Genomic DNA, 26,795 nt, shown 5'->3' with positions numbered 1-26,795 from the left:
TTTTCTGTTTGAGACATATTAAACAAGCTTTATTTAATAATGCTCAATTTGACTTTTCCAATTTAAATATGGGCTCTGATCAGCAACCATTTGATCCCGGCTTCATTTCAGGCTGAAGAATAATTTCTTCTGGTTGTTTTTCTTCGGTGCTGGGTTGATCCTGGGGCCGAGTGGCTGCTCTCGAGTTCCCTACATTTCTCGAGTCTGTGCTGTGAGTGGAAAGAAACAGAGCCATAAAAAGCCTCTCCCAAAGCTGCTGCATAACGTTTACATTGTGCGTCCTCACATCTGTCTGGCTGAAGACAAAAGATATCATTTAAAAGACTCCTCCTAACTGGATAATTATACGGAGACATTTTATTTTTTAAAGTAGAGCATCTGAATGCAAAGAAATTCCCAAGGAGGTGTTCTTTTTCTAGATCTATTCTGCTATCTACCCTCTGCTTTTCCCCTATTTGGGGATTTTTATAAGAATTGTATACACCAAATGGGTGGTCATCCATTAGCAGTCAAGGATTTTGAGACAGCAGCAAGAAGAGGGAGAGTTATTTTAACATTTGAGTTCAATGTGTTTTACAAGAGGGAATGCCACTGTAGATTCCACTAACCTTAGGAACATTTCAGATAGATCTTTTGGTTCCCGTCATTACTGTTCTGATTTTACTAGCATGGTATTTAAAAAGCAAACCCTGAATTTTGGTTTTATCTTCTCCTGCCACCTTCAGAAAATAGCCACCATGAAGCCGGTGGCCCTGGTCCCCCTCTCGAGGTATCATAAAGCCATTCATAACGGCATAAACGCCTGACAACACTCCCTGATGCCAGCCCGGGGTAAGTCGGACAGTGATGAGGGTGGGAGAAACGCTGTCGGTTATCTGAGCACCCTCTCTACCGGGACCGTGATCCCAGCCCGGGAGGAGGGGTCTTTTGCTGTGAAAGGAGCATTTATTAGCGCAGGGCCAGTGCCTGGTTTATGGACCCCAGCTGGGTGGGAGGATGCCACCCCACCCCGCCTGCAGCCTGCGTCCTGGCCTGAAGTGTTTACTGTCAGGGTGATTTACACCATCCAGGTGTTCATTTGGGAAGCATCTCGGCTCTGAGCTGACGCGGCGATTGCAGTGGGTTTGCAGACTGCAGCGTTTTTCTATTCATCAGGGTCCAGGGGCCAAAAAAGACAGTTTTTGTAAATGCTGGCCCAAAGCAGGCTCCTGTCCTGTGATTCCACAAAGGAAGGCTGAGTGACCATGTTAGCCAAGCTCCCCGGTGCCCTGTCCGTGTTGGAGAAATGGGCACTTAGTGCAGTTGCCCTGCTCTCTCATGGATCCTCTCATCAGATCAGTTCCTCCCGGCAGTCTCTGCCCTCCGAGCTTTGGTGGCCGTGTGGATGCTAAGCCGGGCTTTCCTTCTGCTCCTTTAGCACCCCGGGGCTTTCAAAAGGGTCTTGCTAAGCAGTTTCTTTTCTTAATGGAATTTGGGGTTCACAGACGAGCCTGGAGTGTTGGCGATTGCTCCATTTCTCCCCAGCCCCACAGATCAGCCTCTGCCGGGTGCTTCCATGTTAAGGGAGACATTTTTCAGGAGCCGCTTTCTCGAGATAACCACTCTATTATTTTTGCTCACATTTCAACGCAGGTGATGGTGTTATTGTTTTGTCACTGGGTTTCCACGGGGAGTCCCTGACACCTATGCCTGGCATAATTTGAATGCCGAATTAAAACATGCCCCTATACACTAAAAATGGCCTTTTTGTTTGATTAAAAAAACAAAACAAAAACATATATTTTAAAATTTGTTTTATCATATCCATCTCACCTCCATTTAAAGGAGTTTGGACATTTATTAACATATCCATTTTTACACTTGTACTAATCTTTTCTCCAGCCGCTTCTGGTACTCTGATGAAAAAGCAAGAAAATGTATCTTGTGCCTCATAGAACTCTCTCTCTACACACACACACACACACACACACACACACGAGGGTGAGGGGAGGATTCTTATAGTGAAGTAAAAGATGATTCTTTGTCTATGTTTAATTTTCGCAAATAACTTTTTAATGATCCTGAAAGTAACTTTTTTACTGATCCTGAAAATACTGATGCTGAAATTTTAAGAGCTCCTTTCAACTTAGCTGGTTTTCTCTCCCTGACGAAATTCTTCAAGAATAGTTCTTTTGCACCCTTGCAAGATCGGTAAACATAAAGCGTTTGGTCAAGCAGAGGTGGGTTAAAAAGGGGGAACCATTTGATCCAGTTTTAGGAAATAATATTATTCCTTCTGCTTTGAACTCTATGTTTAAAATAGTCTTTTACGCCAATGATTTGAATACTAACAAATTCACTTAAAAAGCATCCACAATTCCCGTTTGTTGTGCTCTTTTCTCCCTGGACTATGAATATGTAAACCTCCCCAACAGGGTAAAAATGCATTGATTTGCCACACTAAACAGGGAAACGTTTGCACCAGTGACAACTGTTTAAAATTACTGGTCCTGGGATGAGGAAAAAAATGGCAGAAATAAAACAAAATTTTTTATTTCCAAGCATCAAGTTGAAGCCCTTTCAAGCGATCATCGGCTCCCTGGGAAATGCCTTTTCTCTGTTACCTGGCACAGCCGAACATCAAGAAGAAACGTGGAAAACATCACACTGACCCCCCAGAAAAATGAAAGAAAAGTACGGAAGAGACCAATTCCCACCCTTGCTATAGACGGAATAAGTATGTGCGTTTGTGAACCTTAAGTGTTCATCTAAATATGTTGCTTCAACGGAGATCCGCTTGTGGATACAGACACACGAAAATACACGAGACCACGCTCTATTTTAAGGAATTGCTGAAGAGTGTTGAACACTCAAACCCACCGCACAGCACCCTCGCAGCTAAGAGCACAATTGAATGAAACCAGCGGATTCATTTATTTTAACCTCCACTGGAGCTGTCCCAAAAAAGCAGGTGGCTATTGAAAGTGTTTTTCTGTTTTTGTCTTTTTTTTTTAATTCTAAATAACAAGAGGGATAAAAATTAATGTCGTTCTATGGGGTCTGAACATGAAAAGGTACGAGAGAGTGAGCCAGGGCCTGTGAAATGGCTAAACGGATTAGTAGCCTTACTTTTCAACATATAAACATCTGAAACCCGTTTCCTGTTTAAGAAAAAAAAAGTCTAGGTGGATGACCTCGGGCACTTTTTTTTTATTAACAAATGTGAATTGTACATCATGGTGGGAAAAAAAAAAAATGGTCCGCTCTTGGTGGTCTTTCTACAGTCTGTATATGGGAGACAGAGAAAAAAATACAAAAATAAACGTTACCTTCTCACTTGCAGGGTGGGCAATGCCATTTCTGCAGCCGTCCAGGGCTCTGGCAAATGTTAAGGCTGTCACTGTAGACAGAATCCCCATGGTCTGTCTGTGTGCCTCGATAGAGTCCGAAGAAAAACATTCCTCGCATTCCTGACGGTTGGTCCTATCTCCGGGCCTTGGACTCGGCCCTGCAGGCTCGTGTCACCCCGTCAAACGGCCTAGGCCACGGCTAATCTAAACCGCTGCCCTCCCCAGCCAGCCCTGCGGCAGGGTGAAAACTGGGACCAATTTGCTGCCTAAACCCTGAGGATACAGCAAGTTTGATTCTCGACCTTTAAGGACACCAGCTGCAATTTGTTCCGCCGAAAAGAGCTTAGCGGTTCTGGCACATTCTGACAAGATACATTTTATAGGGTTTGTGCTCAAATTTGATATTGGAAGTTAGGATTCCAATTTTATGCCTCCAGTGATAACAATAGCAGCTGGGACCTTTAAGAAATGTGTGTGTATGCCTTCTATTGAAGAGTTACATAACAAAAGCTATTTATGTCAAACACCTTATAAGGGAAAGATTTAGCCTAAATGTCAACATAACATATAATACTTTTTCATATTTAGATAGGACGAAAACATCTGCTATCAGTGCTGCATATAATTTTTGGTTTGGAGTATTAGATCTGTGGGGGCTTTCAACATTTCAAGTAAGCATCTCCTTGCCTTAATTTACGAATTCATCGAGGGGCCTTTTTTTCAATATTGTTTCTGTATAAAAAACAAATACCGATACATCATGATTTGGTTTTCCAAGTCCTTCTAATGAACGCACACAAAAGAAGGGCACAATTTCATGTTGTTTGATTTGACATTTGTAATTCCCAAGCATGCCATGAAGCCATTCAGTGGTGCCTTATAAACCGAGGCTGCTTTTGTCTCCTGAAAATGGCTGTGGTTTTGGAGAGGACCTGGCTGACCAGAACCTTGGTAATTCTGATGAAGGAAGAGATCAGCCGCTCAAGGAAGAAAACCTTTCCCAGCAAAGGAACAGCAGCGCCCAGTTCAAGACAACATCTGCAGCTCGATTTTGGAGGGGCTTAAATTCCCTCCAGCTTCCCTAGTGACACCACAGCAAGCTTTCTGAGAAGGAATCCCACCACCAAATAGACAATGACTCTTGTTTACACCAGACGCTTAGGAGTGACCACACGTGGGCCTGTGAGGCAGGCTTGGCTGGAAAATCCCAGCTTCCCTCTTAGCTTTTCTGCTCAGACGGCAGAACCTAACTGAGATGGGAAGAGAACCCCAATTAGCAAAGCCAGGGATTCGCCTGCACCCATGCATGTGCCGGTTCCGTCCGTCCCCTTGCTTCAGGTTTCTTTGACGAATTGGACGGTGTGACCACGGGTTAATGAGAAAGCCCAGTGGACGGCGGCACGCACGGTCATCTGGATGTTCTCTGCTCCTGCCCCAGCCCCTGAGCCTCCCACTGTGGACCACAGCCCCCGTTGGGGAACACAGAGGTCACGGGGGCCAAATGCAAATACCACTTCTCCTTGGGACCTGTTGGAACCAGGCGACACCAACTTAAACTTGGCAAAACGCAAGTTCAATTTCTTTTGTTCTGAAGTCACAACTTGGATGTAACAGCTCCTAAGCCAATATGATCTGAAAAAGAACTCACTACTGAGCTGCCCCCTTCCCACGGTCCGAAAATTGCTTCAGCCTAAACGGAAGGCAATTTCCTTTTCTTTTATAACAAGAGAACCGCTAAGCTTCTCTTAGTATTTCCACCCAGTGTCACCACTAAATACCAGCACTTACAAAAAGATCCCTCGTTGTGTCAACTGCCAGGCTGTCTAATACGCTGAATTTTAAATATGTTGGCTACATGATTATTGTCAGAGAGAATCATGCTCCAGATAAGGACCAGGAAGTGCATCTAGAGACAGCATGAATATTTAGAATAAAAATGCGCTGCTCCAGAGGTTTCTGCAGAGACTTAGATTTGAAACAATGGCTTTCTGTGTGCTGTGTCCCATCCACTCAGTGACATTGATGCTGACTGTCATTATCTACATTTCACATCAGAGGAGATGGAAGGAAAGGAAGATTCAGTTTCACAAGGGGAGAACATAACAGATGAGGCTCGAAGGTAAATAATAATAATTGTATGAATAACCACCTTTACGGAGTTATTACCAGATGCCAGGAGTTTTCTACTCCTGTTATACCATCATACGTGGAAAGACTCATTTGACCCCCACAACAACCCAGGAGGAGGGACTATTATTAGCTTCACTTTGTAGATGAGGAAACTGAGGCAGACAGAGGCCAGCCCATCGCTGAAGACCAGGCTGCTGGAGAGTGACAAAGTGTCAGAGTCAGGAGCTCAAGCCAGGCTGTCCACTGGCAGAGCTGGAAAAACAGGAGATAAACATCAGCAGCGAGAGCCCAGGTCACACTGCCCGGGATCACACCCCAGACTGCCAACTGGGTGAATGAACCATTCTGAGCCTTAGTTTGCTCTTCTATAAACCGGGGAGAGCAATGGTCCCTACCTCATGGGTTTTTTATTGGGATTGCATAAAATAGGCCCTGAAAAGTGCTGGACGTGCCCGGCAAACATGAGTGCTGTGCATGCGGTCTGGGCTGGCTGCCCACCTGCCCAAAGCTCATTCCTCTCACTGACCAGGTCATGACTGCAACGTTTGCTCCAGGAATCCATCTGAGAACTCTGTCCATGTTCTCAAATGCCTGGATGGCGAGGTGGCTGAGGGCAGTATCGTGCGGTCCCCAGCAGCCAGGACTCAGCCCAGCTGACCTGTCCCCAGCCAGCAGAAGAGGATCCGCAGATGCCCGCAGGAAGGGGACGCATTGCCAGGTCCACCAGCTCTCCCACAGACAGCTCCAGGCCTCACTGCTGAGTCTGTGTCCTATATACAATGTCATCTGAGGGTGGCACCGAACACCTGGCTGGCTTGCTGGCCACCCACCACCCTTTCAGCCACCCTGGCTGCCCTCTGGTTTCTATCGCGTCTGTTAAAAGGCAGACCCCTCTGGATGCTTTCCTCCACTCTTTCAAAGTGCCCCCACCCTCACCCTTCAAACATCAAGTTGATGGTTGTACCATGAGCCACAGGAACAATAAACAGCCCGGAAGCCACTCCACTCAAGGTCTCGAGGCCCTCCCGACAGCCGGCCGCCTGCCCTGCCACGGAGGCTGGGCAGCACAGCTGGGGGCTTGAGAGCTGGTTCAAATCCTGTGTCTGCCCCCTGCGAGCTATGTTTGCTCAGGCAAGTAGCTTGCCCTCTCTGGATCTAGTTTCCCTGTCCTCAAAAGCATGGGCAGACATGGGCAAAGTGCTGGCTTGCAATTCTCAATAAATTACAGATTATCAGATCGCTATTTAACTCAGGCAACAAAAGGAAAATACTTGATTGTGTGGAGAGCAATAACTCTTAAAAATGGGGTGGCCGCCCCATAATAAGAAAAGCTAGAAAAAAATAAACCACAGACGCAGTGATTTGGCAGGGTGATATACGGAGGAAATTCTGCCATCAGGAAACAGTATTGTCCATAGGTTTTCTTCCTACTTTCTTCCTTTAATTACTAAATAAAATCTTCAATCACTGAAAAATCACTGTAATATAAACAAACATGCCGTTCCCAGTGGCATTAGGCTATTCTTACATTTAAAGTATCTATACATTCATAATTAAAATATTAACGTTTTGCAAATATAAAAAACTTGAAAAATAGAGTGGCAGGATTGTGGTTGAGTTCTTTTCTGTGATACATCTTTTATTAATGTCTTATGTTTTTTCTTCCTCAACTTTTTCTGTGAATTTCTTTCCATATACACGTAGTTGGAACCTCGATGCAGTTTTACATGAGTATTTTAAAGTGCTGAACAATATTCTAACACAAAACCATCTTCCTTCCTATTTTTGGGCATTCGCGTTGTTAAATTGATCTCTGTTACAGAAATATTTCCCCTGTAGAGCTTTTTACCATATTTTGGGTTATTTCATTGGGACAGATTCCCAGTAGTGATGAGAGTCGAAGGCTATCCACATCGGATGATCCTTGATAGAGCTCAGTGTCACTTATTACGGAGCCTCCCCTCGCGGACATAAAGAACCTACACTCAGGCAGCCCCCTATAGGTCGCAGTTCAGTGGAAATGACCCCACGGATGGGTCTTTGCCTCTGACTTGAATCTGCATGAACTTTTACTGGGAAGTGGAGTTCATGAAGATTTTTTTTAATTGTCACAAGTTCTTTGGGGAGAATAGCTTTATGGATAAGATTAGAATTAAGAGAATTGTTTACAGATAATACAGAGAAAACATGTCTGCTAATTAATTAACAGCAAACTTTAAAAAAATAAAGGGAAACACACAAATGGCCATATTAATATAAAAACAGCCAGTCCCTGATCCGCATCATCTCTTAAAACCCCTATGCATTCGCAGTGGAGGGAGCTCGTGGAGCCGAAATCACAGACTGAGGGCTGCGAGGGGCCTCGGAATGCCTCCAGCCCAGCGGCGTGCTCGGAACCCCTGCGGATCTGACTAAAGGGCAGGTTCAGATTCAGCGAGTCTGGATGGGGCTGAGGGTCTCATCAGTGACTAGCACAAGGGAGGCCAGAGTCACTGGTCCTGGAACCACACAGGGTAGCCGGGGCTTAGAACAGAAAGGACACGGATTTCGTCTGTTTGTGGTAGTGGCTTCCTGAAGCCTTGTTTGAGAAGGATTTGGAGCAACAGATCTTAACTTTTACTATACTTTAGAATCACCGAGTAGGGGGTGGGGGGTGGTGTTTAAAAACCTCCTAGGTGGGTTGCACCCCCAGCTAACTGAATCAGAATATGTGGGAGTGGGACCCCGGTACCGGGATTTCTTCAAAGCTCCCATGTGATCCTAATGTGCAGCTGAGGCTGAAAACCGGTGATTTAGATGTTTTGTCGAGCCTGGGCAGGAGGGAGCTGAAGGAGGGACTAGTGATGTCTGCCAGGAGGAAGGCGGTGGCAAACACTGTGAATTTGCCATCACTGATGTGAAGTTTGCAGGGAGTAAGAGACTTATCCAAAGTCTCGACTGTAGTGGAGTTAGGGAGTTAGGAAGTCCATCTTCAGATTCTCACCTTCAGGCTTCTCTTTTTTTTGTTTTTTCTTTTTTCCTTTTCAAACAGAGTCTCACTCTGTCATCCAGACTCTCCACCCAGTGGCGTGATGATCATAGCTCATTGCAGCCTTGAACTCCTGAGCTCAAGCAATCCTCCCACCTCAGCCTCCCAAGTAGCTGGGACCACAGGCATGTCCCACCACACCTGGCTCTTTCCTCCTGGCCTCAAGCAATCCTCCCACCTCAGCTTCCCAAAGTGCTGGGATTACAGGTGTGAGCCACCATGCCCAGCCGGACTCCAGTTATAATTCAAGATTGACATGGACGGGTAGAGGTCCCAATCTTGAGGTCCCTACCATACTGAGGTCCCTATCAATCATATTGTACTGTTTGGCCAATAACAGTTAAGCAGGGGCCTGGCATTGAAGTTCTGCCTCAGCAGTGGTGAGCGCCAAGGCTGCTGAAGAAGAGACTGAGAGAGGACTAAGTGACACCTTGAATTTATCCCAAAAGACAGAAGCCGGTCTGGGAAGGCTGGAAAATGGGGTGCGTTCAAGGGAGCCCCGCTGTCTGGGATCCTGGAAGGTCACAGGAAGGCTTCAGACCGTGGCAGATTGTCCAGAGGACAGAGTTAACTGATACCAGCAGGTCAGGGCATCCACGTCAAGAACACGATTTAGGAATCTGGTGTTTTTCCAAATACACTGAGAGTCGAAATTGGAAGTGTGGCCATCTCTGGGATAGTATTCTGAGGTGGGTGCAGGATTTGCAGGGAGGACCCTCTGGGTGTCCACATATGTGACAGTCTTCAAGCTATACATTTAAGGTTTGTGTACTCTGTACCCTATTCCTGTATGTAAGATGCATTTTAATTGCAACTTATAATTAAGTAAAAATTAAAAGAAAGAAAAAAATTAAAAGCCAAGAAAGATAAATCTACAGTAGTCCCCGCCTATCTGCAGTTTTGCTTTCCGAGGTTTCAGTTACCCTCGGTCAATGGGGGTCTGAAAATAGGTGAGCACAGTACAATAAGACATTTAGAGAGAGAGAGAGGGAGAGAGAGGGAGAGAGAGGGAGAGAGAGGGAGAGAGAGGGAGAGAGAGGGAGAGAGAGGGAGAGAGAGGGAGAGGGAGAGAGAGGGAGAGAGAGGGAGAGAGAGGGAGAGAGAGGAATTCAGTCACTTAACTTTTATTGCAGTATATTGTTACTGTTCTATTTTATTATTATTCACTGTTCTTACTCTCGTATTGTGCCTCAGTTATAAATTAAACTTTATCATGGGTCCGTACAGGAAAACCCTAGTATACACAGGGTTCCATACCATCCACAGTTGCAACCATCCACTGGGGGTCTAGAACATCTCCCTCGAGGACAAAGGGGGACTACTGTATCTTACAAAGAAGATGACTGAAAAGGCATCAAAACAGAAAACAATTAAAAGAAGGAGTAAGTAACAGAAGATGAACCAATAAAGCAAATCAACACATGAAATACGATGACTGCAAAATGCAATTATGATCCTCTGCTCTTTGCTGGCTTTTCTTACATTTTTGGAGGTTTAGTATTGCATTTCTGTTGAATTTCTCAGAGCATGGGGGCACACTACTATCTTTTCAGTGCTTGTCTGAATCTGCTATGGGCTGGATTAAGTGCTGAAGTGGATCAGGTGACACTTAAAATCCTGCAGGGAATATTCGCTCTAAGGAGGGAAGATCTTGGAGGTTTTAAGCAAAAAGAATCCTTGAAGTAGCCCCAGATGGATTATGCCAAGCCCCTACATAAGGCTTACAAAGATGTGATTAAAAATAAAATCTCTCCTGACTGTAAAGTAGAAATTACATGGAAACTTTTCCTCCTCTCTTTGATGTATCAAATATCAAATCTATTTCTCAAAAATGAAAAAAAAATATTTTCATTTGGAAGAGGGAACATGGGGTGGGGATGGAGGGACTGTTTTTCCAGATTAGCTAAATAGAGGCTGCAGTTGGAAGAGCCACACAGGTGATAACAGGAAGGCTGAACAGGGAATTGGTTTCACTGAACTTGTCTGTCATCAAAAGAGACTCAGAGTCAAGGAGGGGATGTCAGATATAGGGAGGTAAGTCCCTGGGATCCTCCCTAGAAGAGCAGGTGCAGCCACCGCAGCCCCGGGCAGCCTGGAGAACTGACGGCCAAGGGCTCAGTGATCCTCAGAGAAGGACAGCAAGGGAAATCCACGTTATCACAGGCACACTCCAAAAGTGTCTCTTGTCTCTGCCTGTCTCACTGAAACGTTTCACCACAAAATGTGATCCCTAAAAATGCATCTTCCCCCAAGAGGAATGAAAATGCTAGAACAGATATTCACATCAAGGTATAAACGGCTGCAAAACCAGGATGGATGAGGAGCTTTGGGGACCTGAACGCAGGGTGGGGAGGGCCCTCTAAAGCAGGAAGTGTGGGCTCAGGCCAAGTCCTTGCCCTCTTCAGAGGTGCAAACCACAAAATAGCAGCATGAGCTCTAGGCCATGTCGGCCTTCACTGTTATGGAAGATGTCAACGAGTTCAGGCTTCATTATAATCCATGCATCTTTACAACTCATGCATCTTTATAATCCATGCATCTTTATAACCCATGCATCTTTATAATCCATGCATCTTTACAACCCATGCATCTTTATAATCCACGCATCTTTATAACCCATGCATCTTTATAATCCACGCATCTTTATAACCCATGCATCTTTATAATTTTGGAGCCCCTTCTAGCTGGGTGCTGCGGGAGCTCCCAAATAGGAGAAACAAATGGTTAACACAAAGCCTGTGCAGGTCCACCAGTGAGCCCAGACCTGAAGGGGATTCTGAAAATGGGAGGCAGCCCCTTCTGGACAGTCCTTACTCTCAGGTAACCCAGGACTGTGCATAAATGAAGAGCAGCCTGGAATCAGAATCGCTGTAATCAACTGTAACCAGAAATTGCCCGACAAACCGCTTTTCTCTCCCCATCATCTGCCAGCGAAATGGATATGTCTATTCCAGTGACGCACCCTAGCACTGGGGAAATAACCAGAGGACAGGTTCAGGGACCCGCCGGGCCCACGTTAGGAGAGACCTAAGCTAGAACTCCACAGTTCAGTTGGCTTCCATAAGCCCCTGGTCATATTGGTAATCCCAGTGACTTTTTAGGTCTCCTAGAATTAGTATCAGTTCAGAGCCAGTGTCTAGGAACCTCCCAAAGCTCTGATTATTTCTTTTCCCTCAAAGCCATTACCCTGGTCAATGGCCATTTTTTCCCCATCCGCCCTCCCTGACTCTGAGCCATTCTTGCAGGGCAGCCTGAGTGCTCTTTCATCAGCAAGCACAAATATGTCATCTTCTTGCTTATTAAATCCTTCTAGAGTGTCTGTATGGTTCGTTGCTCCAACCTGGACACTTTTGAGAGTCAAGGGGGATGTTGCCAATAATCACAGTGGAACAACAGTCACAAACTTGGGACGTGCAACAGGCAAACTGGGATGTGTGATACCCGTGTGTTTTACAGGGCTCTGAACGCTGGGTCCTGGCTCCCACGCCAGCCTTCTCCCATCTGTGGAGCCCAGCCAAGCAGATCTACCCTCAATCCACCTGCCTCTGAGACACTGCACATGCAGGTTCCTCTCCATCGGTCTCCCCTCATTATCTGGATGCCTCTGATTCATCCCTTGGATGTATGCAGAGGCCGAACCCCAGAGTCTCGAGGATTGTTGTGTTGTGAAATCCCCTTCCCATGGCCCTCACCACACCTGGCCTGCCATCTGCCAGGCGGTGAGGACAGGGCTCCCCACTGCCTCACCACCATGGACCTTCAGCATTGGCAGTGGCTGGTACATAACAAACAGCCATAAATATCTGTTGAATGAATAACTGGACTTCCTTACATGCCTCCTGCAGAAAGGAAGAAGTGAGGAGCTACAAAGCTGCTGGGAATTTCTGCAAGTTTCAGCAAACACAGTTTAGGCAGCTTCCTGGTGCTAGCGTGCTCTCATTTTGAAAGACGGCCATCCAGTGGAGAAAGATGAAGAGTCTGGAACAACGTGCACTGCTAGACTGTCTTCCCAGCTGCAAGTGAGACCAGGGATTTTCCTATCCACCGTTCCATGAGTGGCTACTGAGAGGGAACATCATTCTGGGGAACACGGGTCTCTGTGGACACAGCACAAAAATGGGAGTGGGCAGAGGTATGTTAGAGGAATAGAAGGACTGCCTTGGTGAACCCACCAGGTGCCTTTGCCAGAATGATCAAAACAGTGTCCCTCTGCAGGCAGACTGGGCTCTCCATTGGGGTGAATAACTTCGGAGCTGCCCCCACTCCCCGCCCTGGCCAGGCTGCCCTGCCGTAGTCAGCAAACCACACAACTGTTCCTGCAGCCCTGGAGCGTGGGAGCAGAAAGGGTCTAGACCAACGGAATGCCTCCCTCTCCCCTTTCCTCCCCTAAACCCCAGTGTTGGCCTTTGTGGAACCAAATCACAGTGGAACTTTCCAGAAAGCCTGCAATAACGACGCTATTTCTTTGAGGCTGTGGTAGGTGGCTTCTCTTTGTTGCCCTATGTCATACCAATGTTATTTCCTTTTATTATAAATAGGAATTTCGCTCAAAGGGGCGCAGCCTAATACCCCCTGGCTGCTTTGTACTTTAATCAGGGCTTTCCTGCCGAAATGTTTATCTTCCAGCAAAGAGGTGCTAATTTTATCTTGCAAAAGTGGATATCTGCTTACGTCCCCTTCTACCTTCAAGAAAGATAACCAAAAGCATATTATGTCATCTAAATACAGCATCCTCTGAGATCAAAAGGCGTAATGTACACAACTGCCAGAGTTGATGGAGCGGCCATTGGCGTGCTCTTCCGCCCGGCTCGCGTGTGCTCCATTGATAGACAAACTTGGCCATTTCTATGAAAGAAACTCCCAGGCGCTCTGTTTGTGCCAGTTGATTTCGATGATATTGGGAGGTTTTGAAATGAGAATCCAAAATAGATATGCCCTTCTCACCCCTCTGTGTAAGCCCTCACCACAGGAAATGGCACAAGTTCAAATGTTCGTATTGGAAGCAACGTGGGACTAGATAAGAAGTATGTTCCTGATGGACGTCTTCATGTTTAAAATCTAGTCAAAATGATGCATAGTCAGAAGCCACCTGAGTGTGTCTTCCTTGGACTCGAGTCCTACTTCTAGTTCAGTGTTTTGAACCACATTCTGTTACAAGAGTACGCATGTCAACACAGTACGCACACATGTGCACACACCCATTTGAAGTAAATGCTCGAAAAACTAGATGTGATCTGATGTGCATTACATGCTGAAACATTTTGTCCCAGTCTGGTCCAGCTTAACCCCTTGTCCTTCCCTACTCAAAGTGTGGTCCCTGGACCAGTGGCTTCAGAGTCACCTGAGTTGGAAATGCAGAATCCAGGGCCCCAATGCAGACCTGCACGGTGTCAACCTGCATTTTAACAAGCTCTCCTGGCAGCATGATGATGCATATTACAGTTTGAGAGTGCTGGTCTATTTCATTTTTCTAAGTGTATTTACTTTTCATAATTTGGCTACACCTGGCTAAATCGATGTCCCTACTCAGCAGTGCTTCATGACCCAGGATTGGACAAACCTACCGCAGAACACTAGAACCAGGATTCCGAGGGCTCTGGGGTGGCTGCGTTGAGAAAAGAAAGCAGCATTTGCCTACAATGCTGCCCTTCGAAGGCAGTTTTCCCTTAGGCACTCTCTCAGACTTTGAACAAGGAAGGTGACATCCCGGACACTTGTTCCCCCTTCCCTGGCCCGCTGCTTCCTCCTCTGCCTTCTCTTCAGAAATTCCTCCAATGCTCCTCTCCTCGGCCTCTTAGGTCCCCAATATGCTCAGAAAAATGAAGACTTCCTATTTAGTGTGGTCTCTGTAAGCTTTGTCACAAATTAAGATTTAAGCTTCCAAGCTTGGTGGGGTATACAAAGACTCCTAGAGATCAGGATGGCAGGGGGTGGGGCGGGTGCTGGCCTGGCGATGTGGCTCCCTTACCTGTCACCTTGGTGAGGGTCTTCTCTCACCCTGAGTGAATGCGTCACCAAGGGGCCTTGGATTCTGGAGGGTCTGGCACGAGGCCACCCCTGGGAGACAGAGTATTAAGGAGTGTGAGAGGGACATATCAGATGTTAGGTGAAAAGGCCAACTCTTCCCTGCTCGAATTAGAGTTGAGAATAAAATAAAAATGCCTAAAACATCTTCAGGCACCCTCACACGAAGGCCGATTAGCTCCCTCAGCTCAGGATGGATTTACAAGGATAAAATAAAATTATAAATGGACATAGCTTTGAAAACCGAAAAGCATATTGAACTTGCCTGGACTTAACAGCAGGAAGACTGCTTTCCCTTATAGAGTAGATAAATACGCTGTAAAACTCATTATCACTCACGTGCTGATTTTTAACTTTTTTTAAATTTCAAAAGTAATCTCTATCTGGAAAAATAGACAAAAGCACAGAGAAATGATGAAAACCACCTATAAGCTCTACACCAAGAGAAAACTGCTGGCCAATTTGCTATGTATCCCTCAAGACAGTGTTCTATGAATCCACACACATATAAGTGTGTATCCATACAATATTTACCACCTTGTGTTCTTACACATAAATGGCATAATATTGAACACATTATTCAGAAGCTCACTTTTTCTCCCAGCAATATGTCTTAGAGACCTTTCCATGTCTACAGTACTTCACAACCTCGTTTTTTAAACCAATGCACAATACTCAGTGTAGAAACATCATCGTTTGTTTTACCGTTTTTATATTGATAGTCATTTCGGTACTTCCAGTTGTCACAAATTCGCATTTAAGCACCCAAGCTCGGTGGGGTTTGCAAAGATGCCTAGAGATCCAAATGAGCTGCAGGGAGTGGTCACATGTTCATGCATTACTCATGATACTATCATAAAAATGTTTCCAGTGAATATCTCAGACCTGCCTCTTTGTTCACATGTGGGTATTTATTTTCCAAAATGGATACCAAAATTGATGTCTGTGGTGAAGAGTTTAGTAGTTTTCAACTAGAATAGGTATTGTCTAATTGATTCCAAAAACAACATGCCAATTTATGGGCCACCAAGAGAGTCACCCTGCTCTCCATCCTATCCCCAATGCTGGCTATGATCAATTCTTTCATTATTACTGATAAAAGAAAAACAATATCTTGGGGTTGTTTTGTTTGTTTGTTTGTTTGTTTGTTTGTTTTAAAGACTGGGTCTTGCTCTGCCTCAGAGACTGGAGTACAGTAGTGCCATCATAGCTCACTGAAGCCTCAAAATCCTGGGCTCAAGGGATCCTCTCACCTCAGCCTCCCAAGTAGCTGGAACTACAGGTGTGCAGCACCATGCCAATTTTTTTTTTTTTTGGGGTGGGGTAGAGACGGAGGTCTCACTTTGTTGCCCAGGCTGGTCTCTAACTCCTGGCTTCAAGCAACTCTCCTGCCTCAGCCATCCTCCTGCCTCAGCCTCCCAAAGCTTATCCTTTGATCATTTTTCTATTTATACATCTATGTGTGTGTCTATCTTTTTATGCCTGATTTTTAAGAGGGCTCTATCTTGGATATTATTCATTTCCCTGTTTCATATTTTGCAAGTATTTTTTCCCAGTTGGTTACCTCAATTTTCATTTTATGGTGTTATCATATTATTTTTTACACAGTTCAATTTGTCATTTATTTCCTTTTTTACTTTTGCATTTATGTTGTAAGGAAAGTTTTTCTATCTTCAAAGTTGCAAACACGTTCTTCTACATTTATTCCTAACATTTTTAGACTTCAGTTTTTTACTTTCATGCTTTTTCCAGTTGTCCCAACACTACTGAATGCTAGATACTCTTCATGATGTATTGGAGTGCCTTCTTCACTGTGTAATAAATCCCTCAAAAAGCACCTGTTGATGGACTCTGGTCTATTTCATTGGTCTATTTCCAGATATTTGGGGATTTTTTTTCATATACCTTAATGTTGATAGTTTCTAGTTTAATTTCACTGTGGTCAGATTTAAATTTAAATTTAAGTTTAAATGTGGTCAAGTTTACATTTAAATTCTAAATTTTTAAAAAATTTTAAAAAATTATTTTTAATTTATTGAGGCTTATTTTCTGACCTAGAACAGGGGCAGAGAAGGTTTTTCTGGAAAGGGCCAGAGAGCAAATATTTTAGGCTTTACCAGCCACAGAGTTGTCACTGCTGCATGTTCTTCTTTCTTTAGTTTTGTTGTATTTTGTGCAACCCTTTAAAAATACAGAGATCACTTTTAGGTCATGGTCTGTACAATAAAAAACAGGCCATGGGCCATAGTGGCCTAGAACATGGTCTACCTTGCTCAGCACGCCATGTGCACGTTCTTTTCATGTGCACATGGGCAGCGCGTTCTGTAACTGTCAGTTAAATCCGGCTGGTGTATAATGTTGTTCAAGTTTTCTGTATGTCATGATCATTTTTGTCTATTTGTTCCATCAATTATTGGGATAGGAGTATTGGAATCTCCAACTGTAGTTATGGATTTTACTCTTTCTCCTGTTAGCTCTATCAGTTTTTGTTTCATGCATTTTGAAGCCGAAACACTTTGTTATATGACCTCATGAATAATGATTACCATCAAATCAGATTGTTGAATGAGTGACAGAAATGCCATGAATGTCCACGTTGTCAGCAATCCTCGCAATAACATTTTCAGATGCTCGGTCGTGGAAACAGCACTTCCCTAGTCTGCAGTTCTTCCAGAAACCAATGGTGAGGTCACTTTGATCAGGGTTCTAAGAACCGGCCCTTGGTTTTCCCATGTGTAAAATGGCCATGATAAGACCCCACCATATGTGGGAAGGATTAAATGGGACAATATATACGTGTAAGACTTAGAGTGGCCACTGTCAGAGAGAGTGTTCTCAGTGCACTTCGCTGTTGGTATTGGTGTTAGGATCCGTAATCGCATTATTTCCTAGCGGGGTAGAGGAAAATAAGAGAGGGCTTTTGCCAGGCACGTGGCCATGGTTGAGCAGGAAGGAAAGGGGCTGACTGGGGGCCTCCATCTAACAAGATGAGAAGCAGACCAGGACATGTGGGCAGGCTTCCACGACATGGCATGGGCTATATTCTGACTTCCACAAACTGTTGAGATCACATCCGTCCCACTCGCCCTGCCAGCCTCAATAGCTAAAGCCCACTCACCCAACAATAGCTTCTATATTCTCCAAGAATTTAAACCCTAGGCTTCAATGAGAATGCTAATAATTATGAGAACCACAGTACAAACTGAGTGGGAGGCACAGGGATGCTGGAGTCAGACGTGGGCACAGGCTGTGACCTAAACACTTGTCAGGTATTACTGGTTATGCTTGAAGGAACAGTACCGCGTAACAACCAGCACGACACCTTGGGAACAGAAGAACAATATGCGCAGAGGGTGCACGTGCCCAGGGTGAGTTCGAGTTTGCTGGGCAGCTCCACTGCTCTTGGCCTCACTGACCTGGGCGGCCGTCTCTCACTGCAGCCTTAGCCCAGCACGTGCTCATGGCCTGGCAAAGAAACCGTGAGCCCCGCCCCCTGTGGTTGCTGACATCCCATTGGCCAAGTGAGCCACGTGGCTGAGGCCACATGAAGGGGCGGAGCCTGTCATCCCACCCACGTGGGCTCCCTCAGTTCAGCAACAGCAGGCTGAGGGTTGGGGAGCTGGAACCAAGGGCACAGTTCACCCTACACCTGTGTACATGGACAATGGCTTCACCTCCGTGGTTCAGCCTGTTGACTGCCATGGGAAAGCAGCTCTGCGTCTCAGGCAGGGAGGAGTTCTGGTTAGGCAATACTGCAGCATCAGCAGGTGCTCTGGTGCGCACCCCATGGACAGATTCAGCAAGGCGCACACCCCAGTAAGTGCCTGATGCTCACCCCAGTGCAGGTGCCTGGGAAATAGGTGGCTCTTTGTCCCACCAGGCCCAACTCTGCCCATGCTGCATTTCTCTAGAGGAGACACCAGTCTCCATGTTCTGTGTATGGGGGTGTTTCTGGTATGTGTGAGAATGTGTGTGTGGTGTGTGTATATATGTGTGTGTGTGTGTGTGTGTGTATACACGTGTGATGTGTGTATGTGATGTGTATATATATATATGTGCATGTGTGTGATTATATATATGTGTGTGTGGTGTGTGTGGTGCATGTGAACGTGTGATGTGTGTGTACGATGTGTATACATATGCATGTGGTGTGGGTGTGTGTGGATGTGTATGTGATGTGTGGATGTGTGTGTGTGATGTGTATACATCTGGGTGTGCATGTGTGTGATGTGTACACATATGCATGTGGTATGTGTGTGTGGTTTGAATGTGTGATGTGTGTACCTGTGTGCAAAGTGTATATATATGCAGGTGGTGTGTGAGTGTTGGTGCATCACGTAGGTGTGTGTGTGTACACATGCATGTGGTGTGTGAGTGCATGGTGCGTGTGGATGTGTGTGTAATATGTGTGATGTGTGTATATAAATGCATGTGGGGTGTGAGTGTGGTGCGTGTGGATGTGTGTGTAATGTGTGTGATGTGTATACATATGCATGTGACTGTATTGTGATGTGTATATACATGCATGTGGGTGTGTGTGGTGCATGTGGTGTGAGTGTGATGTGTATGCATATGTGTGTGGTGTGTGTGCATGCGGTGTGAATGTGTGTGCTTGGCAAACCGAACGCCAACGTAGAGTGAATGGTACTAGCCCAGGGAAAACAGCTTAAGCTTCCTAATCAGAAACTGCCAACTCACCTCTCTCAGGGACTTTCCAGTAAACGAATCCAGTCTGTCCTTGTCCCGCTTGGGGAGCATCTTATAAAAGCCTCCCCTGCGTCCCCCGGTGGAGCCCTGAGCAGCCTGCGATCTGGAGCTGCCTGATCCGTGAATCGCTGTTTGCTCAATTACATTCGTTAGAATGTTGATGTGCCCAAGTTTATCTTCCAGTAGGTGTGTGTGTGTGAATGTGTGTATGCAGGGGGTGGTGTGTGTGGTGTGTGTCTGTGTGTCTGTGGTGTCGGTGTGAATGTGTTTATGTGTGTCGGGAATGAATGTACATATATGTGTGTGCAGGTTGTGAATATGTGTGTGGGGTGGCTGCATATGTGTGTGTGTTTGTGGTGTGAGGGTGAATATGTGTGTGTAACCAGAAGAGTTCCCGAATCTTGCCTTGATGAAGCCCAGAGTGAGCCTGAGGCTGAAGTAAACCCCGATTGCATGATGCAGACAATTTCCCAATAAAAAACCAATTCAAAGCTCTTGCCTAACACGCAACTGTGATACTGGAGTTGTCCCTGGAAAGATCTCAACTCTCTCTACACCTTCCGCAAGATGAAAATACTGCCCCCTTTTAAGCAGTAGAAGCAGGCATTTGCATTAGCCAGAGATAACATGTACACCCTTTTCTGCCATTGGACAGATTTTTAAAAAATCAATCTTATTGAGGTAAAATTGATTTACGATGAAATGTGCTCATTTTAAATTTTGAAAAATATATGTGTCATGTGACCATAACTCCAACAAAGATGTCTTTTACTTAGTTCATTTGTATCACCATGAAAATTCCTTTATGCCCCTTCCCAATCAATCTTCCTCTCCAGGCAACCACAGATCAATTTCTATAGCTACAGATTAGCTCAACCTGTCCTAGAACGTCATAGAAATGGAATCACGCAGCATGTACCCTATTGCATCTGACTTCCTTCACAAATAATAATGTTTTAAACTTCATAGACAGTGTTTCATATATCAGGAATGTGCTCCTTTTTATTGTTGAGTAGTGTCCCATGGTAAAGATCTACCGCAATTTGCACATCGATTAACCTGTTGGTGGGCCTTTGGGTCGTATCCAGCTTTTGGCTACTGTAAATGAAACTGCTCTGACCATTTGCATATACATCTTTTTGTGAAGAAATGTTTTAATTTATCTCGGGAAAAATACCTAAGAGCAAAATTGCTAGGTCATTAAGTAATTGTACATTTAACTTTATAAGAAATTGCTAAACTGCTATTCAAAGGGGCTGTGCCATTTTACACTCCCGCAGACTCTGTATGAAGGTTGCAGTTGCTCTTCATCCTCTCCAACACTTGGTAGTTTTAGTTTTTTTAATTTTAGCCATCTGGCAGGTGCATAGTATTACTATACTATCATTTTAATGGGCATTTCCTGATGACTAGTGATGTCGAGCATTTTTTTTTTTTTTTTTTTTTTTGAGACAGGGTCTCACTCTGTCACCCAGGCTGAGGTGCAATGGTGTGATCTTGGCATACTGAAACCCCCACCTCCTGGGTTCAAGCGATTCTCCTGCCTCAGCCTCCTGAGTATCTGGGATTACAGGCTCCCACCACCATGCCTGGCTAATTTTTTTATTTTTAGGAGAGACATGGTTTCACCATGTTGGCCAGGCTGGTCTCAAACTCCTGATCTCAAGTGATCCACCTGCCTCAGCCTCCCTAAGTGCTGGGATTACAGGTGATGTTGAACATCTTATTGTATGCCTAATAGACATTGATGTATCTTCTTTGTGAAGATACTTCTGTCCAGAAGAATTGACCATTTGTAAAGTTGGATTGGTTATCTTCCTAATATTGAGTTTTAACAGTTCTTCATGTATTTTGGATACAATCCTCTCTCCGGACATACTCCTTGCAGCCTGAGAGGCTTGCTTTTTAACTTTTAGTAGTATTTTTGAAGTTGTTTTTTTTTTTTTTTTTTTTTTGACAGAGTCTCACTCTGTCGCCAGGCTGGAGTGCAGTGGTGCTATCTCAGCTCACTGCAAACTCTGCCTCCCGGGTTCAAGTGATTCTCCTGCCTCAGCCTCCCAAGTAGCTGGAACTACAGGTGCCCACCACCACGCCCGGCTAATTTTGTATTTTTAGTAGAAACAGAGTTTCACCATGTTGGCCAGGATGGTCTCGATCTCTTGACCTTGTGAACCGCCCATCTCAGCCTCCCAAAGTGCTGGGATTATAGGCATGAGCCACTGCACTCAGCCTTTTTAAAGACTTTTAATAATAATTTTAAAGAGAAAAGTTTTAAATTTTGATAAATATCAATTCATCAAAATTTTTTCTGTTCAGTGCTCTGTTAGGTCTAAGAAATCTTTGCCTGCCCCGAATTTGTGGAAATACATTCCTTATGTTTTTCTTCTAGAAATTTCAGTTTTATTTCTTACATTTAGCTCTTTGATAAATTTTAAATTAATTTATGTACATGGTGTGAGGTAGGGGTAAGATATCATTTTTTTTCTATATGACTATTCAGTTGCTCTTAACCAAGTTGAGGAAGTTTCCTTCTAGTTCTTAATGACCAAGTATTGTATTTTGTCAAATGCTTTTTCTGTGCCACATCACACATTAAAATACTGACAAACATGAACTGTGCAAATAGTCACCAGGACTACATTGTTGGGAATGGAAACAGGTCTCATTCCTTTTGATGGGTTTACTGCCTTGACAGCTGGAGGTTTGCCATAGACAGTGTCAGTTGGTGGCCCAGTAGCCATTTGCAAATCCTCCTTCCTTGCCTCCCAGATTACCACTTTCCCAACCTCTCTTGCAGCCAGTGGTCAGCATGTGACCCAGTTTGAGCCAATGATCCATAAGGGAAAGCATACTATAGATCTCCTAAAAGAGAGTTTTTCTTCCTAGTAAAAGGACAGAGGTCACTTTTCTATCTACCTCCCTTTAGAGGTAGTCATAGGAGGATGTGATGCCTAAAGAAACACCTGTCACATTGCAACTATGCTGGAATGATCAGGAGAACTGCAGACATGCTTCCCAGGATCCTGACATCACTTGGAATTAATTCTATCATGGGATACTGAACTTCAGACTTTTCATTGTGAAAAATAATAAGTTGTCTTTATTATGTGTGCTGCATTAGTTAGTATTTTATTATTTATAAATCATACAGTCTTCTCCTCTACCCACCCTCACACCCCAAAATCCTAGTCCAGTATAGAATGGACCTTCTCTCAAGCAAAAAAGGTAAGTATTTTCATCACCAATCCTTTTCAAACATGAAAATGAGACAGACTGATTCCATAAGCCACAAAGTCATGGGATGGGATCTAAGGAATAAAGTGGAAAGCCTGGGGATTACAAGCCTGGGTTCTCACACTGCCTACCTCCCCAGCATCTCTAGGCTTCCTTCATTTTCTCAAGGTTTCATGCGCCTTTCTATAGTCTTCTGTCAGCCTGAAACACTCCCCTTTACCTAGACTCTTTTCTTTGTCTGGCTTGTCCTACTCATCCTTCAGATCTCAGTTTAAAGCTTACCTCCTCAGGGGTGACCCCCCCAGACCCCCCAGATTCTCTCTTACCATTCTGAATTTTTTCTCATAGCAGTAATCTCAATTGAAATTAGGTGTGTGATTTGCTGTAATAATCTCCTCCACTGGAACATGTCTCTGAGGATGGGGATCAGACCTTTTTGTTGTAGCCCCATGCTCAGCACATACTGCAGTGCCTGGAACATCAGAGATGTTATGCACATATCTGGGATGGATGGGTGGATGGGTGGGTGGGTGGATGAATGGATGCGTGGATGGGTGGATGGGTGGATGGATGGATGGGTGGGTGGGTGGATGGATGGATGGATGTGTGGATGGGTGGATGGATGGATGGGCGGATGGATGGACAGATGGATGGATGGATAGGTGGATGGGTGGATGGAGGCTTGAATAGGTAGATGGATGGGTGGATAGGTGGATGGATGTGTAGGTAGATGGATGGATGGGTGAAAGATTTCAATGGCACTGTCACCAACTTGCTGCATACTTAGGCAATTTATTTCCGCTTTGTGGGCTGTAGTTTTCTCATCTGTCATATCTTCGCTTGAACTAGGTGGAATGTAAGAGTCCTTCCATTGCCAACTGTTTATCAAACGGAACCCAGATGTTTGAATGTAGTTTTGCTTTTAAAATTGGCCCTTCCCCCATGTATTCATTTATTTCCCTCCACTGCTGATGACCCTGCAGTTGTCCCAGAAACTCATTCCATAAAAGCATCCCATGGAGGACAGCTGAAGCCGGTCGCCTTGACTACTCCAAGATGCAGGGTGCAGTGGTTTCCAGGCTTGGGATAGTTTCAGCATCTGCTGATTTCTCCACAATGCCAAGTCCCTAGTCCCTTCTCCCACATTAAGAAGGCAGAATTTGTGGTGGGTTGTCAGTAATCATCAGAGGAGGCGGCATCTTTATTAGCCTGATTTCCAACACATCTGTTCATCATCAAGCAGACGGCAGATAAGAAGCAAAGTCCTTTTTTCAGATTAAAGATTGCAATGAGTGCAATTGCCTGCAATGCCCATAATGTGGCTTTTACGTCTGCATAGTGGGTGCTGCAGTGGCTTAATCCTGAACATCTGTCTTCATATGGAAACCAGTCCTAGAAACTCACAGTATAGACACTTCTGTATGAAATCCTCTTATCATAATTCATAGTGGAAACAAAGGCTAAGACAAGTTCCATCACTATTTTTTTTACATTTTACGTTCTAGGGTACATGTGCACAACGTGCAGGTTTGTTACATATGCATACATGTGCCATGTTGGTGTGCTGCACCCATTAACTCATCATTTACATTAGGTATATTTCCTAAGGCTATCCCTCCCCCCTCCCCCCACCCCACAACAGGCCCCGGTGTGTGATGTTCCCCTTCCTGTGTCTAAGTGTTCTCATTGTTCAATTCCCACCTATGAGTGAGAATATGAGGTGTTTGGTGTTTTGTCCTTGCGATAGTCTGCTGAGAATGATGGTTTCCAGCTTCATCCATGTCCCTACAAAGGACATGAACTCATCCTTTTTTATGGCTGCATAGTATTCCATGGTGTATATGTGCCACATTTTCTTAATCCAGTCTATCACTGATGGACATTTGGGTTGGTTCCAAGTCTTTGCTATTGTGAATAGTGCCGCAATAAACATACGTGTGCATGTGTCTTTATAGCAGCATGATTTATAATCCTTTGGGTATATACCCAGTAATGGGATGGCTGGGTCAAATGGTATTTCTAGTTCTAGATCCTTGAGGAATCACCACACTGTCTTCCACAATGGTTGAACTGTTCCATCACTTTTTCATTTTCTTTTTCATCCATTTCCTCAGGGAAGAGTCACCAGCTCATCTGCTCTTCCCCTTCTGGTGGGAATCACATTAAGAGATGACCATTCATTGAGCCCCACTGAGCCAGGAACAGTGCTGAGGACATTTCATTCATTCTCTCTAATTCTCACAATAATTCTTTACTGTACATTCTCATTGTCATTTGATAGGTAAGGAAACAGGCTTACAGCCATGCTCAGACTTGCCCAACTTCTGCAGCTAAAGTGGTGAGTCTGAGATTTGAACCCAGATCTGAGCCTCTGAGGCTGAGCCCGTCTACTACTCCAGGTTGCTTATCCAGTAATATTCTGTGGCAGGAGGAAAGGTGAAGAGTCAGAAGATGGACTCAGAGCCAAGTGGCCAGCTGCTCAGCCACCTCCTTGCCTTCCTGATACCTGTAGGTAAGGCAGGAATGAGCTCTACAGCAGACCTCATCTCTTCACAGCAAGCCCAGTGACCTTCAACTTGAACCCACAGACTCTACCCTGAGATTGTCTGCAACAGGGATGATGGCATTTTTTGAATAAATCAAGAGGATCTTTTCTATAAAGGGATTGGTGGGGAGGGAGAGGGTGTGAAAATGAGATATTTAGATCTGCTGCAACATCTTGGGATGGAGGTTAAGAAAATCACCAAGATGCCACGGCAGAGCATTGATGTGGCTTAGCCTACTGCCACATCCAGCATTCTTGTCCCACGAGAAAAGCAGCTCCCCATGTCTACCTTCTGTTAGCCATAAGTGAGTTACTTGCAGCTGACAGTATTCTTAACTGATACACAATTTCAGCCAGAAACCACTTTTAAACACACCCAATCCCTTCGATGGCTGTCCAAAAGAGAGATCTAAATCTTTAGCTTACATTCAGGACCCCTCATCACTTGGCCCCTTCCTAAGTTTTTGAACTTCCTAGTTCATCTCAGGCAAGCCACCCGGTATACTTTGCCTCTCCCTTGCAAAACCCTGCAGCAAATTCCAACTAATATACTGTCAAGGGTCAAGGGATCCTTACCAGTGGGAGTAATAGACACTGTCTGTTCTCTAGCCACACTCTCAAATTCTTTTAAAACTCAGAGTTAGTTTCCCCACATTCCCAGCTCAATAAATAGAACTGAATGATGGGAGATGAAGATGAAACAGCCAAGCATTCCATCTGAATCCGGAATCCGTAGCCCAGATCCTCCCAAGTAAGGCATGACTCCCATCACCACATAGCTACCCAACCCTACCATTAGGCAAGGCAAACCCCTACTTACAATCAAAATGAACTTCATGTGTAACCAGGAGGCCACTTGTTTCCAGGAACACCAGGCAGAGCCCTCCTCATCCCCGACCCTGCCCCACAAGCCTCCTTTCCACCCCCAGCTCTTTCCATCCCCTTTTCTTCTTATTCGATGCTAGCATTTGCTTTTTTAGATGAGACCCACACTCCCTTCAATGGGACTGTGATAGAGTCAAATCTCAGAGACAGCAATTTCATATTTTAAAATGAAAATGCACATAGATTGGGCATAGCACAGAGGAAAGAAGAAACAAGCAACCTATATTTGGCTTCAAGGAGTATAGATTAGTGCACCTTGACTGGAGGGCAAGTAGGGGTACATAGCCAGATCCCTTAAAGTGTGTAAGTTCACTTCTGGTAACATCATCTAAGGGGAAAAAAATGGAGATTACACACAAATGTGTGTACAAAACGAATCAGTGTTTTTTTAACGAAGCATTGGGAACAACCTAGATGTTCAAAAAATCTGGAATCATTAAATTGATAAATTAGAAATTGATGAAAAGCAAGAATGCAGTCATTAAGAAACACTTCTGTAAAGAATATTTAATGCCGGCTGGGCATGGTGGCTCACGCCTGTAATCCCAGCACTTTGGGAGGCTGAGGCGGGTGGATCACCTGAGGTCAGGAGTTCGAGATCAGCCTGGCCAACATGGTGAAACCCCGTCTCTACTAAAAATACAATCATTAGCCAGGCATGATGGTGGGTGCCTGTAATCCCAGCTACTCGGGAGGCTGAGACAGGAGAATGGCTTGAACCCGGGAAGCAGAGGTTGCAGTGAGCCGAGATTGTGCCATTGCACTCCAGCCTGGGCAACAAGAATGAAACTCACTCTCAAAAAAAGAGAAAAGAATAGTCAATGCCAAGAAACATTCATAACCATTCATATAATCAAATATGAAACAAGGACTAGAATGAGATATGTAACTGGATACCACTTATGTAATCTAA

General features: G+C 44.7%; 2 long non-coding RNA genes across 2 annotated transcripts; one reads left to right on the top strand and one right to left on the bottom strand.

The window, feature by feature from the left end:
• Positions 1–3,540, bottom strand: LINC01082 (long intergenic non-protein coding RNA 1082). Its single transcript, NR_103859.1, has 2 exons — positions 3,309–3,540; positions 1–209 (listed from the first exon to the last, which is right to left on the bottom strand). It is a non-coding gene; the product is annotated as a long intergenic non-protein coding RNA 1082 (long non-coding RNA).
• On the top strand, positions 205–7,057 carry LOC124903743 (uncharacterized). The gene is made up of 2 exons (XR_007065164.1): positions 205–831; positions 2,542–7,057. It is a non-coding gene; the product is annotated as an uncharacterized LOC124903743 (long non-coding RNA).
• Positions 7,058–26,795: the final 19,738 nt, after the last annotated feature.

Source organism: Homo sapiens, chromosome 16 (assembly GCF_000001405.40).
Source record: "Homo sapiens chromosome 16, GRCh38.p14 Primary Assembly".
Taxonomy (NCBI): Eukaryota; Metazoa; Chordata; class Mammalia; order Primates; family Hominidae; genus Homo; species Homo sapiens.
Note: the sequence above shows the minus strand (reverse complement) of the source record. Positions and strands in the feature narration are given on the sequence as shown.